Source organism: Homo sapiens, chromosome 10 (genome assembly GCF_000001405.40).
Source record: "Homo sapiens chromosome 10, GRCh38.p14 Primary Assembly".
In the NCBI taxonomy this organism is placed as follows: Eukaryota; Metazoa; Chordata; class Mammalia; order Primates; family Hominidae; genus Homo; species Homo sapiens.
In genome coordinates, this window is record NC_000010.11 from 56580331 (window position 1) to 56598399 (window position 18069).

General features: G+C 36.3%; 1 non-coding gene across 1 annotated transcript; it reads right to left on the reverse strand.

The window, feature by feature from the left end:
* Positions 1-15632: 15632 nt before the first annotated feature.
* On the reverse strand, positions 15633-15701 carry LOC124900300 (small nucleolar RNA SNORD2). Its single transcript, XR_007062423.1, has one exon. It is a non-coding gene; the product is annotated as a small nucleolar RNA SNORD2 (small nucleolar RNA).
* Positions 15702-18069: the final 2368 nt, after the last annotated feature.

The following is an 18069-nucleotide window of genomic DNA, read 5'->3' on the forward strand; positions in this document are numbered from 1 at the left end:
TGAGACAACTGGAAGCAGAATTTTAAGGAAACTCAAAAGTCAATGTCCCTTTCAAGATGAACTCAGAGCAGAGTGTCTGACAGTTGTGGCAGTGCAGGGAACACTGACTCTCACAAAGATTTTAAGAACTAAGAATATCCTGTGCACCCATATTTTTTCCTTCTCAAGGCAAAGTAGCAACTACTTCATGAGAGTAGCAAGTACTTCATGAAATGTGCTACAGGAGGGGATCATATTAGGACATATAGTTCTGTAAGTAACAACCACACTTTATTCAGTGAGAATCCTGATATTGTTTTGTCTAATTAACTTGTCTCATCATTTCATACTCCAAGTACTAGATAAACCCCAGACTCTGGTTGCCCAGGCCAAACCCCCAAATCTAAATCTATATACTGCATGGCTAAGGCTGGGGATGGGGATAGGGGTGGGAGATACTCAGTTTTCACCATTCCTATCTGTTCTAAATAACCACTCTCCCCACTCCCAGAAACACTATGTCTTTCAAATGACAACCATTCATTTGCATTTGATGTCTTCAGCTCTCTGTGCCAGCAGTTTTTCATGAGGCCGCGTTTCAGCTGATCGATCAATTTAGAGGGTGAGATGCACTGGATGTCTTGAATGGCTGACATCTTCTTGCCTCCATGATGGTCTTAGGGCCTCCGTTCCCCATGGAGTCTCTCTCCAAATTGTATCTCCAGTAGAATATCCAGATTTCTTTCATGGTAGTGTAGGGCTCCCCATAGTGCAAAGGTGGAAGCTTCCATGTTGTCTTTTGTCTTAGGCAGAGAATTGGGACAGTATTGCTCTCCCCATATCCTAATAGTTCAAACAAATCACAGGCCCAGCCTAGATACAAGGGAAGGTGAATTATTAGGTTGTGAATGTCAAGAGATGTGATCACTGGGAGCCATCAGTGTAACAGACTTCCAAACACACTGCCAATCTATCTAGTTAGCTAGATTTACCAAGTTCTACAAATGAACCCTAAATTTAAAAATATTTTCGTTTCACACACACATTCTAACAGTGTCAATGGAAATACAAGGAACACAGTGTCATTATGCAAACAAATGGCCATTCAATGCCATCCTCCATTAATAAATTTGAGAGTGATCAGAGAGGAGGGAGTAGATACTAAATTTCCTGCCCGAGTTCATTTCCAATTCTATTTCAAGATTAGACTCCAACAAGACTATTAATATTTAATAATAAACATAACTTTATGGTGCTGAATTGACACACTCTTCTTAATATAAAGGGACCCAGATTTACAGTGATGGTCAAGAAATGAGATTTGTAATCTCAAAATATATGTAAAAATTAGGATCATTACTACATAGTAATTTACTAAAACAGTTGCCAGTGAAATAAATGAATAAAGTGATAAAAATAGTTAGACAGGGGGGTCCTTGAATTTGTTTAACTAAATGATGTGATGTAGAATCTTGATAGAAATCAAACTCCTAAAATCATATTTTCCTTTTCACTTATTAAAGAAAAGAATAGCATTGGAACAACTAATGTTCCTTTTCCTACAATGTAAATTGCACTTTTATCTTTGGGTTGATATCAGCTAGCTTTAGATGTGGTGGACTCTACATTGAACTATTTGAAACAAGTCAAATCTTAAACATCAGTCAGTTCCCTAAGAAAGGAGCACCTGGATAATGAAGACAGGGTTTATGACAGATCTCATGAGTTTTACCACTAAGAACAAAGCTAGTGACTGATTGGATAGGCCAGTGAGGTACTGCCTGGCTATATAGTAAGGGCAAGAGAAATACTGTTCTTAGTCAGAGGAGTCTCACTTGGAATCCAGAAAGGAGTATGGTGAGGTGATGGGAAAAATGGAGAAATAGCAATGCTGTTTGATAACTGTCTTCACATAATTATTGTCACTTCTGCCACAGACCTTCTCTTCCATTTTAAGTTTGGCTTTAATGCAGCTCAAATCCCCTATAGCCTGGCCCCTTTATGCTTAATCGACAGACAGTCTTGTGAGTCATGTCTTTGCAATTTTTTGGCTCTAACACTTAAACTAGGCAAGTGGCAAAACCTAGGAGGGCCACACAGTGCCCTGAAGGCTTTTGACAGAGGGTCCTCGCATCCTCATTTCTGTTAGAGATCTTTAATATGAAATAGTGTAATACATAATAAGATCAGGAAATTTCGCTTTTTTATTAAAAAAATCTGCTTTCATGAACTCTCATGGGTCATTCCTAACACAGTGACTGCTTAGTAGCCTAAAAGAGGCTAAATTCTTTGTTCTACTGTGCCCTTGTCAATAAGAAATGCCATTTAAAAAATAATGTATAAATAAATAGAATCTAAACATGAACAGAAGGGGTGAAAAGGAGTTGAATTTCAGGACTTGCGTCAATATTTTTTTCTGTTTATTTCTTTACCAAGCACCATAATTCCATTGTACATATAAATGGCTCGTATTGGTGGATTACCTCTAAGAAAGACAAACAACAAAACAAAACAAAACAAACACAAAAACAAGTAGAGTAGCTAATAGTCTGTTAGCTAAAGTTTTCACTCTCAAGTGGATCAATAAACTCCCAAGCCTTAGGAATAACTATGCTTATAAAAATGTTCACATTCTCATCATCACATAATCAATACAATAAATAAACTGGTTGAAAAATCTGTTTCTGCCTATTTCCCTTCTTCCTACTCTGACTCCAGCGAAGGGCCCACTTCCGTGAGCTCAACCATTGATCTTTCTACCTCTCATCCATTTCCCTTGTCACTGAATAGATATAATTTTAAGATACATGTAGACACACACAACTTACAGAGAATAAAATATACAAATACACATATATATAATTTTAATATATATACAATTATATCTGAAAATGCACACATATATACTTGTGTATGTTTATATATATACACACATATATATACATATGTGTGTGTGTATATATATATATATGTATATATGCTGATTTCTTACCTGTTATGAAATGTGTTACTTAAAAAAGTAGGTACACAATTATTTTCTCTTCATTGAAAAGTTGAACCCCTAAATTTTCTGCCTTATTTCATTCAGGGGAGTAAGGGAAAAGAGATTTTGCCATTCTCTTTCATTCTCTCTTGAAGTATTCCCTAAGGTAGAAGAGCAAATCGACATGTATGAACAAGTCACTATGCTGTAAGTCAGCACTCTTTCAAAGCACATTCTGTCTCTTTCTGGCTCCTCTTTTACTTGCTGCCAGCATTTAAGGCAGACTGGCTGTGCTGATCCCTTTAGTGAACTGGATAAGTTGAGTTATATTCTCTCTAGGGATCTAGTCTTATTTCTCTCATTCTTTCTCCATAGGTATACCCAATTATTCCTACAAACATATAGAATGGGAAAGAGGGAATAGGAATAATTTAGTCTTAAATCTAAACTGTGATTTCTAACTCAACCGTAAAAGTTTTCATTAAAATACCAAGCTGGTGATCAACAACCAGGATTTTATTACTGTTTGGCTTCCCTGGAAGGAGGAGTAAATTACATATATAAGCTCTGACAATGTTTTCTTTATTTAAATTTTATTAACTTCCATTTAAGTAACATCCCTATAAAATAACTTAAAAATAATGACACAGAGATGGATGTATGGTAGGTAATCTAGGTTACATTCTAGCAAGCATTTCTGCACTTTCTGCTTCTCAAAAGCCCTCAAGTTATGTTACTTATCCATTTGTGTCCATTCCCAGCTCCAAAAGTAGAGGAGGCCATAAACAATCAGAATATTCCACTGCCCTGGCCAAGTGTGGCTACAGGATAGACATGAGTCTAAGATATTTCAATAAGTGTGAGTATTAGGACTTCGGGAGGGAATACTGGTACAAAAATACCCATGTCCAGGAGCTCATTGTAATCATCTTACAGTCATAAGCACAGCCCCCTTTGCTAAAGTTCATAATGCAGAGTCAAGGCAAAGAGACATAAAGTAACTGAGCTATTGGGGACATTATTGAGATGTTGAATCATGTCAAATACACCTCTAGGCTTTTCATGTATTTTGTATTTCTATCTATCTATATCTACATTGCTTAACAGTTTGAGTCAACTTTTCTGTTATTGTAACCAACACTATGTAACTGATACAGCGTTTTTATGTTTTTCAGAGGAGATTTTAAAAAACAACATCTCTGATATTTTTGAGTCAACATTTGTCTCTTCTCCCCATATTGCCCTCCTCCCACTTACATCTGTATTTCCCAATGAGAGCTGCAAGTGTATTATGTGGCTCTAACTCTGGTCATGGGAAGATTAAACCCTATCAACCTGAACCATATTTTTTCTAATTGGGAATAAAGAGAGTTAATGGTAGTAGAAACTGAGAAGTATGAAGCTCAAGAGCTCTCGATAATTGTATTTCCCACTATGTAGATGAAGCTGCTCACTGCTTGCAGAGCATTAAAGTGAAGTGAATACAAAGATAATTGCAAAGCTGAGGGTGGAGTGTTGAGTCCTCACAGCATCAAATCTATGTATTGACTAGTCCGTCAGTTCTAATGACATCACCATTCTTTCCAGAGATGAGAGCAAAACAATTCTCTTCGTAATTACATTTCCATCATTTGAAACTGCAAAATGATTGACAAATATATTTTAAAGAATTTAAAATATAATTGTCTTTGTAATTACTCATTTATTTCTTGTATTTCAATAGCTTTAGGGGTATAAGTGATTACTGGTTACATGAATGAATTGTATAGCAGTGAAGTCTGAGATTTTACTGCACTGGTCACCTGAGTAGTGTACATTGTACCCAATGCGTAGTTTCTTACCCCTCATCTCCCTCCCACTCTCCCCCTTCTCAGTCTCCGGTGTCCATTATATTACTCTGTACGTCTTTGTGTACCCAGGTTAGCTCCCACTTGTATAAGTGAGAACATGAGAACATACAGTATTTGGGTTTCCATTCCTGAGTAACTTCATTTAAAATAATGGCCTCCAGCTACATCCAAGTTGCTGCAAAAGATTTTAAAAAGAGATTATTTTGTTCTTTCTTACTGTTGATTAGTATTCCTATATATATGTATATATGAATACATATATGAATATATATTGAATATGTAATGCATATATATGTGTACATTATATATAATACACATATATTCATGTACATTATATATATTTTTTATTTACCCCCCCCACACACACACACACAACACATTTACTTTGTTGACTCTCGAGGATGTATGTGACCTGTACTCAAGTCTCCCAGTGGCAGGTACCAGCACCAGCTCTGATGGGGTTGGCAAGGGAGTGACATAGACTCTGTGAGATTCTTTGGATATAAATAGCCTTAGTGTGTGGACTTTATCAAATGCCAATTTTAGTAGTTAAGAACTGGTCATGTGGACAGACTCTGGACCTCCTGATTAGCCAGCGTGATGCAGGCAGTGATGATAGCTGAGGTCACACACAAATTTTCTCCTTCCTTGGCATTTTGTTATTGTGCCTGTGGATGCAGCAATGGACTCTGTCAGCTGGGCTCCAGGCAAGAAATGGCCCTTGCAAAAGAATGCCAACTGTGGTGGTAGCAGGAGGATTTGTGTTGCCTTATGCTACCTCATGGAGGTACTCTGCTGTCTCAGGCAATGGACAGGGCCATAGAGCTCCCCAAGGTTTCTGCCCTTTGTGTTAAGTAAGCTACCAGGACTAGTGAAGGGGCAAAGCCAGCACGGGGCTGAGTCAGGCAAGTTCATGCTCTGAATGCCCATGTGCTGGTACAAACAGCAGCCCCAGTGGGAATCAAAGGGCAGTCTTCTAGCCACAGGAAGTAGTGCAGCTGCCCCGATGCATAGAAGAGTCCATATGGGGAGTGGAGAGTAGCAGGTGGCAGTAAGCTCCATCCAGCTCCCAAGCACTTGGCAAGGCACGTCTCACACATACAGTGTTCCACTAGCAACAGCTAGCTAGGTTTCAAGGCAGTCTGTGCCCAGAACTTAATACTGACCCAGGCCATATTCTTTTCCCACTGAGATAGAAACTGTGGCTTTGAGGACATGGCCTTTGTGGTCCCCTCACAAAGCAGGGCATCCAGCTCCTGTGCCTGTGGCTACAACATACTTCCCACTCATCGCTCGGTTCTGGCTAAGTGAGTTTGTCCCTGCTTGAGATTATATCACGCATCTCAGTTGTGAGCTTCTCTCAACCTGTGGCCGCCTCCTGAGTTAGTCGGCTGCCTTCCGCGAGGTCCCCTGTGAGGTAGGATCCGGAATGGCAGGCTACCTTCCATTCTTGCTGGAGTCTGGGAGAGCAAAGCACGGTCCGATGTTGTTCCCGGTGGCCTGGATTGCCAAGTTCCCCATTGGGAGTGCATATCCCAGAGGCAGTTTCTCTTCCTCTTATGCTCTGGGGACTTGCAGTATTCCACTTGGCTCACAGTGTAAGCTGCAGCCTGCTGCTTCCTTCAAAAGGACTGTGGTTTCTTTCAGTTTTCCCGTTGTTCCTGTGTTGCTTCTTGAAAAACGAGTTCACAGCATGAGTCCCTACACATTATTTTGTCTCGCCAAGTGGGAGAAGCATGCTTACAGTGCTTCCAATCTGCCATCCCGAGGAAAAAAAATGTTAATTCCTCTCTTTTCAAGTCACTGAAATATGATATCCAAAATTTACATTAGAAACTTCTCTCCTTTCTTTTAGTACAATTATTTAAATACTTAGATTATAACTTTCATATATCCATACAGCATTTTAATCCTCATATTTAGGGAAGCAAATACATTTATGTAAAGTAAATATTCATGCTCTAAATTTAATCTCAGGATTTTAAAACAAGTTATAAAGTACTCAAGAGATGTTCCTGTTATCTACAACATCAGCAGAAAACTCTGAAGTGAGTTACAAACTTTCAGGTGCAATAAGACTATCGATCACTATTCTGTACATAAGCTTCAAGTGTTTTCCAAGTGGCAGGTAAAAGCTTTTTTATAAAAAGGAATGTATACAAGAATGCTTTGCTGTGAGCATTGCATATAAAAGCATGAATAGCTTGGCAGAAAATCACAGAAAAATAGGCTAACACTTGCAAAAAGAGTGTTTTGGAGAGTGGATGTTTATTTACCTAATTCAGTTCTACTTAGACTTCTCAGACTGAAAAATAAAACAACCTTGATACAACATCTAATAGCCATTGAAATATCTAGTGGGGCAAGTGATTCTTATTCCTTCTTGTCACTTGCGTATTCATCATATTTTAGAATTTTTTTTCAGTAAATGATGAGTGTTTATTTCTTGATCAAATATTTACATTGCACATGTATTCTTTTTTTATATCCACATTATTTGTCCACACTCAGTGGATGGTTCAATAGAGTGAGTTTTGAGTACATAATTTACCATAAGAATTACTGAATAATGCAGAAACAAATGTAAAAACTGTTCTAGAATTCAGAAAATTAATGTAATACTTTAGTCTTTGGAAAAAATGTTTAATCTTTTAAGCATTTTTTGGGAAAAAATTCTGAGACTAAAATCAAAGTTTACCCTCACTAACTGTATGATTTTAAAACTGAAGCCAACATAATTTCCTGTCTCTATGTTGGACAATATTGGGACTGGAAATACTTTCCTATTAATAGGTTAACTAATATTGAGAATAAGCAAAGTCAACTTAGCTACTTGATTGAGAAAATGCTTGCTTCTAAAAGATAAGACTGTGAACCAACTAAAAGAGCTTATTTCATAGGACGAATTTGTTGCTTGTCAAGAATTGCTTCAAGGCCCTTGCTTACTGTGGCAAGTAATCTAAAGCTTTTATGTTATAAACTAAAATTTCAACCAATTCTCTGTCTTGCAAAACTTTGTTTAAAATCACAAAGCCTAGGTTCCGGTATCTTACAAATGATTTTCTTTGGTGTTTCACTTCTGTATAACACTACTACAAAAAGAAATCAAGGTGATTTTCTTGTACTGCAGTAGGATTAATGAATTTAACTTTGCTTATTCAACATTGTTGTTGCTGTTGTTTGGTTTGTTGATCAGTTGATCTGGCTTTTGAGATTTTGCTTGTTGAGAAACCTGGAGATGTCATTGACATCCAATACAAACACCCTTGCTGCTATGGCTGAAGTCCTCAACTGAGAAAAGCATAGTCCTCTGAGGTTACTTAATCCTCATGCTTGGGGGTCACTTCCTTAGTGCTGAGGTCTTTCTTAGACATCTGTTTAAATATGACAGTGAGGTAGTCTATCATTAAGTCTGAACTCAAACTCATTTCTTTTTTTCTTTTCTACTTCAAACTATATTTTGCTTTGAAGGAAACAGAAACCTTTATGAATACTTTAATCTTATTTAAAAACTGTTCTCAGTGAAAAAAATGCCTTCTTACAAGCCTTCCTGTCCATTCTAATCACTTTATGCCTTCAGTCTTTAAGAAAAAGTCAGAAGAAAGATGAGTCCATATTTGAGAAAACCTAAAGGACAGATGAATTGAGAAATCCTTATCTGAATGGTATACTTGGGTAAACTTTGCCTTTGGTCATCTTTTCAAAAAAAAGTTAAGATTTTTTTTTTCTTATCTCTTTATGTCCCTGGGAATAGCTTTGTTCCAACCTCTGGAACTGGAGGATTTATCAGGTTGGAGATGACTGGTCTTAGGCCAATTCTTGATAAAGAATTGATAAAGACATACTGGAAACTGGGTGATTTATACAGGAAAAAGGGTTTAATAGACTTACAGTTCTATGTGGGTGGGGAGGCCTCACAATCATGGCAGAAGGCAAGGAGGAGCAAGTCATGTATTACATGGATGGCAGCAGGCAAAGAAAGAGCTTGTGCAGGGAAACTGCCCCTTACAAAACCATCAGATCTCATGATACTCGCTCACCTTCATGAGAACAGCATGGGAAAGACCTGCCTCCGTGATTCAATTACCTCCCACTGGGTCCCTCCCACAGCACATGAGAATTCAAGATGATATTTCGGTGGGGACACAGCCAAACCACATCAGGAGGTTTGCATAAGCAAACCTGTTACAGTTACTAATCTCTTGTAAGGAATTGGTCATCTGCTTGATTCTCCAGGAAAAAAGAACTTTTAAACTCTAGCTTATGTTTCTGTAACTAGCATTATTTTTACTAAGAACAAAAAGAAATAGTCACTTTAAAAATATCTTTTAACATAAATGAGATCTTTTATATGAAATATGAATTACCACACAATTATGAAAGAAAGACTCATAAGATTACCATTTGTCTAGGCGTATACTTTCTTCAACATGGGAGGCCACTCTCAGTTTCTGTAATTTGGAAATTAAAACAGTAACACTTTTTATTCTTACGGCTTGATGAAATTTTCGAGTGCCTAAAGTTTATTTCTCGCACTGGCTATTGGCCATAATAATTCTTTCTCCCTTTCTCTCTGTCTCTCCCTGTGTGTGACAAAATATTTTCCCAAATTGACATTGCCTTCCCTCTTTATTAGGGAATATGAATGGGCCTTTAATAGGTTTTGCTTCATATTCCCCTTTTACCCTTCTTTATACTTTCTCCATTCTCTTGGGAAATTCTGAAGATTAATTATTTTTTAAATATTGTTTATTACATGAACATTTTAGAAATTGCAATCCTGGTAAATAGAACATTTTAGAAATTCTACTCCAGTTAAATAGTCATAATTTCTAAAATAAAAGGTAAAAAAGTATTTGCTTCTTTTGTGTATGACCCCTCGTCTAACACATACATCTGAAAAAGAATAGTTTAATTTGTAGCTTGGCAAGGGTCTTGGTGCCTAGATAAGCAGAAATGTTAGACATATAGAAGTTTCAGAGGGGATACCAGAATGTTAATCTTGGATATATGGATACAGAGATTTCTTTTTACTAAAGAGTTGATGTAATATTCCTCATACATAAATGATGCTTTAGAAAAATTAGAGTGAATTAATTGTAATCCTCTTTCTTGTTTTATGACAATTTAAAATGATTGTAAAACAATATTTTAATTTGTACAACATTTGATTTGGATTTCAGATTAAATTTTAAATTTATCTTTTAAAAAGTTACCTTTAAAAGTTTGTTTTATTGATCTAATGAATAAAATTTGTCAAAGTAATAAAAAGTATAACTAGATATTCTTTGGTTTTCTATCTGCTAATATTCTCTTTTATCCAGAAAGAATAAGGCATGTTAACTTATTTAAAGTGGTAATTAATATGAGTGGTGTCCTTAAGGAGAAGGATATTACAGAGTTGTTGCTACTATTATTCTCTCATACGATTTAGATAAACTAAAATGTCTTCAGACTTGGTTCACAGGAAAGAAAAATTGGGGGCTTTCAGATAATGAACTTCCTAGTAATTACTACTTATTTTATTATTTCTATTAAATAAATAAAATAAAATGTTATAATTAAACATCTACTTCTTCATACATTCATCCTCCAAGTAAACTTCTAGACAATTAAGTAGAGTCCTAATGTTACTGATATGGAAAGAATCGCTTCCTTAGTTGCTAACTACTAGCTTGTTGACCAATTGATCCACATATTATAATTGGCTACACAATGTTTTCAAATATTGAAAATTGTATCTACAAACTTAAATTCCTGATTATTTAAAGAAATCTCTTGATCTTGCATGCCATTGAGAAATAGTCTGCTGAAGCTGAGTATATAATAATAATTGATAATATACTGAATATTTACCATAAATAAGGCACTACTTTGAGTGCTTTACATATAATTTAATTTTTACAATTGCACAAAATAAATATTACTAATAGGTCAATTGACAAAGGAAACCAAGACATAGAAAGTATTAACAGCTTTCTTATGGCCATATAGCCAGTAACTGTCAAGATTTAGTGGAGAAAATCTGACTTCAGAGTTTGTCCTCTTAAGCACCCTGCTATATTGCTTCCTTAAGTCTGTGTAAATGTTTTTCAGTTGGCCAGTCTCTATAGCTGTAGGGTAAGACAGCAGTCCCTGTCTATTCTAGGTTACCGTCATGGCTGCTTAGGTTTTGAAGTTTATTATTAATGATCAACTTTGAATAAAGTGAAATATGTAATTCCATAGACACGGAATAAGTTCAATTAAATGAAGAAAGAAAAAAAGACCATAAGTAAGGAAGTTCCTATTTCTATCGTACTTACAAACACAGTACCTACGAATATTTCTATAGTACTTACAAAGTACTGTGACTTCCCATTCATGGTAGAAAGTTCTAGCTTAACAGTCAACTTCCAGTTCAGAATTACTGTGTGACTTACTCTTCTCATTTAATTTGCCACAACTAATCTCTGTAGATAATTTCTTCATGGACAGATAATTTTTTCTCATTTCCTTGTTGCTTTCAAGTTGCAACTAAACTTTCTTTAAGTGAAGAATATTTCAGTAAATTGTAATGCAAAAATGTTTACTTATTTGTAAAAGACCTTTTTTATATCCCTATATTTATATATAGTATAAACAAAAGAGATGACATGAATTAATATGCAATATAGCCCCTGTGTTTACTTTAAAATCTTTTGCTAAGACAATATTTTAACTATAGTCATTTCTTGTTATTCACAGTAATTATGCTATACGAAGTCACCACAAACACAATTAGCAAATACTGAACCATTGCTTCCATGTAAATACAGAGTTAGATACCTGGGAGGCTCTAGAAATAACATTTTTGTCAACTGACAAGTGCATATTATGTATTATGTGGTTTCTGTTTAAAGATAATTAATTTAATATTTTTTATAGTACTCCGATTGTCTTTATTATTTTTTTTAATTTCCATAGGTTATTGGGGAACAGGTGGTGTTTGGTTACATGAGTAAGTTCTTTAGTGGTGATTTGTGAGATTTTGGTGCACCCATCACACGAGCAGTATACGCTGCATCCAATCTGTGGTCTTTTATCCCTCACCCCCTTCCTATCCCTTCCCCCTGAGTCCCCAAAATCTATTGTGTCATACTTACGCCTTTGTATCCTCATAGCTTAGCTCCCACTTATGAGTGGGAATATACAATGTATGGTTTTCCATTCACTTAGAATAATAGTCTTCAATCTCATCCAGTTTGCTGCGGAATGCCATTAATTCATTCCTTTTTATGGCTGAGTAGTATTCATATATATATATATATACATATATATATATTACAGCTTCTGTATCCAGTCATTGATTGATAGACGTTTGGGTTGGTTCCACATTTTTGCATTTGTGAATTGTGCAGCTGTAATATGAGTGTGAAAGTATTTTTTTTGTATAATGACTTCTTTTCCTCTGGGTTTATACATAGTAGTGGGATTGCTGGATCAAATGGTGGTTCTACTTTTAGTTTTTTATGGGATCTCCACATGATTTTCCATAGTGGTTGTACAAGTTTACATTCCCACCAGCAGTGTAGAAGTGTTCCCTGTTCCTTGCATCCATGCCGGCATCTATTATTTATTGATTTTTTTTATTATTGCCATTCTTGCAAGAGTAAGGTGGTATCACATTCTGGTTTTCATTTGCATTTCTCTGATAATTGGTGATGTTGAGCATTTTTTAATGTTTGTTGGCCATTTGTATATCTTCTTTTAAGAATTGTCTATCCATGTCCTTTGCCCACTTTTTGATGGAATTGTTTGTTTTTTTCTTGCTAATTTGTTTGAGTTTGTTTTAGATTCTGGATATTAATCCTTTGTCAGATGTATAGATTGTGAATATTTTCTCCCACTCTGTTGGTTGCCTGTTTACTCTGCTTGAAAAAGGCCAACAGCACTATCACTCATGATTAAATGAAGTTTATTCAATACCACATTTTCTCCAAAACCAATATTACAGCCCTCTTTCACTTAGGAATACCAGGCAGCACCTTAGCACTACAGTTGGGGGTCATCTTAAACAGCAAAATCACCAAAAAAAAGAGAATTAAAATGCAAAGAATATGGTATTAAATAGACTATGAAAATTACATTGTTTACAGTATGAAAGCAGAACCAGAAGGCAAAGCATCACCACGTTCAACCTCATGTGGGACTGTGTGCATTGGGTGACACACATTTTTCACTGCTCTGCACATGTCTGCAAATAACCATAAAAGTACTGTGAGTAAGTATTGACTTTTGGGTTGCCAATAAATTTTAGTAAGTAGACAAATTTGCAAATGCAGAGTTCATTAATAATGAAAATTGATTTATTTTACAAATTAACATTTTAAATTCAAATAGTGATATCAGAGAAAACAGTCACTAAAGACATTTTTGTGCATTTTATTCACTTGAATTAGTAATGATATAATTCATTTTTATTACACATTAAAATAGGTGTTGGGAACACTGTTCTCAGGACTATTGGCTGTAGCCCATCTGCATATATCTAGGCCACCGGAGACTTTCGTAGAGTTCTTTCAGATTATATCGTTTCACACAACAGTCCCTCCTCCCAACTCATTTAGCCCAGACCATTTGTTGTTTATCCTTTGCCTCATATTATTCTTGATTTATTCATTTAGTTGAACCTTATCTTTTCACCACTGTCTAAGCTTCTTGAGGTAATAGACTTGTTTTTAAAGAATATTTAATGCAACGTTTGGCCGAACTGTTCATTGATCCCACTATATGGTGTAGTGTTCCTCTTTTTTCACAACATTCTTCTAGTTTCTTCTATCTCAAGCAACCTGTATTCCTATTATTGTCTATTTCCATCCTCTGCCCACTCATTTCCACATTTCCAAAAGCGTATTCATTTTTCAAAATCTAACTGAAAGTGCAAATGAAGTGTTGTTCTTAGTGTTCCCCAAGAACACCCTCAGGTTTAGAGGTCCACTAGAAAAACTCACAGAACTCAGAAAAGCTGTTACACTCATATTTATGGTTTATGACAATGAATGGGTATAGCATAAAATCAGCAAGGGAAAAGGGTATAATGGATAGAGTCCAGGAGAGACTTGCTATTTGTTTCTAGCTGTTCCTTCCCAGGGGAGTAATATGAATCACACTGAATTCTCTCAGCAATTATGTGTGATAACATACATGCAGTACTGCCAAACTGGGAAACTTATCCAAGTCTTGGTGTCCAGTGTTTTATTGCAGGTGGGAGAGAGGGTGCATGCAGACATGTTGTGCCCACATGGCTGACTTATTTACATAATCTTCAGCCTTTCCAGATTCCAAACTGATATGATACTGTATGGTCCAATGTCTTCACCATACATCACATTGTTACCATAAACCTGGCTAATAATCTGGCTTGGCCCAAGTCCCCAGAAAAACAAAGGGAAGATATTCTAAGGGTTTTTCTTCTAGGTCCAGTTAAGCATCAGACCTTTCTTTGGAATGTGAAGATTTCAAAGAATCCAGGCTTGCTGAGTTAGTCTTTTACTATACACATGTAATGTACTCCATGAAACCTCCCACAACATCTCCAAACAGAAATAAATTATTCCACCTCTGAAGTCATACAGCACTTTATTTCTTTCTTCCACATCAATTGTTTTCTTGTTGTAATTTGCTAAACTGAGGCTGTTATATGTCAAACTTGCGGAAGAAATAGAACAGCTAACTAATTGAACACGTTTTGATTTTCTGAGCATGGCAGTAGAGTAAGAACAAAACTTAGTCTTTCTGGTTTAGAATATTAGAGGGAGAGAGGGTGGTGAAGGACTGTTCGTAGAGAAGGGGATCAATATTAAAGACTTGACAGGTATGACTAAGGGAGGAATACTGGCTGACTGGGAATTTTAAGCTGCTTTGCCTTCCCAACTTTCTGAGTAAGATAGGGCAGGGGTAATAATAATAAGCTAAGACTGCCGACCACGTTGATGCTACATGTAATGGTTCAAACAAGCTTATCTTCCCTCTGTAGACTCTTAATTCTGGACAGTAGACTCATGTTTGAAGGAACATTTAATTTCTTATGCGCAGTATTAGTCAAGGTTCTCTAGAGCGACAGAACTAATAGGATAGATGTATATATAAAAGGGAGTTTATTAAGGATTATTGACTCACACAATCACAAGGTGAGGTTCCACAATAGGCCATCTGAAAGCTGAGGAGCAAGGAAGACAGTCTGAGTCCCAAAATCCTAAAAGTAGGGAAGCTGACAAACTGACAGCCTTCAGTTTGTGGCTGAAGATCCAAGAATCTCAAAGTTGAAGAATTTGGAGTCCGATGTTCAGGGTCAGGAAGCATCCAGCGTGGGAGAAAGATGTAGGCTGGAAGACTAAGCCAGTCTGGTCTTTCCATGTTTTCTGCCTGCTTTTATTCTGGCCACAGTGGCAATGATTAGATTGTGCCCACCCAGATTGAAAGTGGGTCTGCCTTTCCCAGTCTACTGACTCAAATGTTAATCTCCTTTGGCAACACCTTCACAGACAAACCCAGGAACAATACTTTGCATCCTTCAATCCAATCAAACCAACAGTCAATGTTAACCATCACACATGTTTAGCATGTTTTTCAGTACACAACTTAATACCTAACTTTTGTTGTGTACTTAGCATGTGTTAGAAACTATTCTACTGTTCTAAATACTTTATATGCATTATGCATTATATCACTTAATCTTGTGAGGTAGGGTTTTTTTTTTTTTTTTTGGCATGGTACATGTTTACAAATCCCACATCAAAATGTCACTTCTACTTCACACCATGTATTCCATTTAGAACATGAATTATGCTGAAATAATCAAGTGATCAGCAATGAGTATTCTTTTCATTTTGGGTCACTCTCAAAAGATGACTGTCATCAATTCATCAGATAGAATTTTCTTTAGAAATCAATACACTGAGATAATTTAAGCAAGCTACTCAAAATCCAAAACCAGTAAGAGGCAGAGGACATATTTAGACTCATGTGACTTGGCACCAGAGCTCATAATCTTAATTTTAAATAATACTGAGTTCTCTAATAGAAAACCAGTTGCTGTATTAGTACAGTGAATTGATATTTAGTACTTACCAAAAATCTCCTCAAACGTTGATATTTGGGTTAATTCCTGACCATTTCTGATGAAATCATAAGGAAAATTTAAGTCTTCACTGTAGAATACTTTTATGTTAAAGATGAAACACTGGGCTAGAATGAGTTACAGGTTTGACTCAGAATCTGAACATATATTGTCTTCGTTAGAGTTCGAATTTCAGCTTAAACAAATGAATACATTCACCCTTTCCTTGTGGTCAACAAAACGTCAAATGAGCAGTGAAAACTAAGTCATGGTTCACTGTTCAGTTGAAACAAGAGACCTTCAGAAGAACCACCGTTTTTCTGAATACTATCAATACTAACCTAGAAGTCAAAGTGAATTATTTGACTGTTTGATGCTACTGGAAAACCATTGGTGGTAAACTCTGAAACATAGAAAATAGGTATAAATTATCTTTTTCCTTTTATAGTTGTCACATACTTAAATATTTGTGAGGAATAAAAGATCAGAGCCGAATGTACCCAACAGACAAAAGAAATCAATTCAAGAATGTAATGAAGCAAATACAAAGAAAGCAAAACAATTGATAGGAAGCAGGGAAGATTTGTTTTAGTTCGCGGGACCAAAGTAATCAAAAAGAAAATAGCTCAGCTGGAAACAAAGGTATTTTGTTTCTCCTGATTAAGTTGTCTGGTCAATAATAGACATGGAAAACAGAGGAAAAGACCAAACATCTTATTTGGTCCTACATTTGGTAAGGTGTGCATAAAAGTGGCAAATATAGTTTCCTAACAAGGACGAGATTATAAAGAAAACAAGCCCTAAATCTTAAAATCTTAAGATACTAGACTCAAAGAAAACTTAGGACTCATGTGGCTCATGCAGTTTTTGATAGATATCAATCTCCTGATCAAATGTTTTCTCATACACCCATGATAAATAGTTTTTAATTCTATTATAAATAGTTTTTAAAATATGATCTAAGATCAAAGGGCTGACAATTTCCAAATATTATTTTTTTCATAAAAATAAGTGTCACAAGTTCAGAGAAGAGACAAACTTTGAAGATTTACAATCTGACCCATATAAGAAAAGAGCTCACAAGATAGTTTTAAAAATAGAGTTAGGGGTTACAAGCGCAGTTTTGTTGCATGGATACACACATAGTGGTGAAATCTGGGCTTTTACCTGAATAACAAACATTGTACACAATAGCTAGTTTTTTAACCCTCATATTCCTCTCACCCTCCCACCTTTTAGAGTTTGATATTTCACTCAAATGTCTGTTCTTTCACTCAAAGAGGAGATATTATTATTGTTACTGATCAGATGGTGCATTCTTGCTTGTGCCTCGTAAGAATGTGATAATGTAGAAGCTAGAAATTTGAGGAGAATGCCAAATGATCTGCTTTAACTCTGAAGATTTGCCAGATAAAGTGGACTTACAGGACAATCCTCTCCACCCAGAAATCTCTGCTCTAATGAAAGGAATAAAGCAAGATAGTAGATTGGTGAACAAGTAATTGCAGTTTTGCCATTACTTGTGCACCAACCTAATAGTTCTTATCTAATCACTTACTATGACTGCTTAAATAATAAGATAGGCAGTCCTTGCTGTAGGATCAAGAGTAATCTGCCAGCTTTAGTACTGAGTGGAAACTACTGCCCTTTCTAGCTCTCATGTAATCTGTTTCCCTCACTAAATTTGACTAAACAACTCTGATTTTGACTTCTATTACTGAAACTGTGACCTTCCACATGGCTTGAACATCTGAACATTAAGTCCTACATTGTAAACATAACCACATTATTTACGGTTCCTGTCCATTATGAGTAGTAACTACATAAAAGCAAAACCCAGCTTGCTTGTTGGACTGCAAGTTTTCCCTTATGGAAAAATGTGGTCTAAAAACTTGGCCATTCTTGACCTGAGATTGGTAACTCCTAACTTGAAGCAATCCGTAATCTGGTCCTGACAGTTTTTGAGTAAATGGAATAACTCCCCGCCCCCCGCCCCCCTTTTTTCTTTCTGAGACGGAGTCTCACTCTGTCGCCCAGGTTGGAGTGCAGTGGCGCTATCTCGGCTCAGTGCAAGGTCCGCCTCCCGAGTTCACGCCATTCTCCTGCCTCAGCCTCCCGAGTAGCTGGGATTACAGGCGCCCGCCACCACGCCTGACTATTTTTTTGTATTTTTAGTA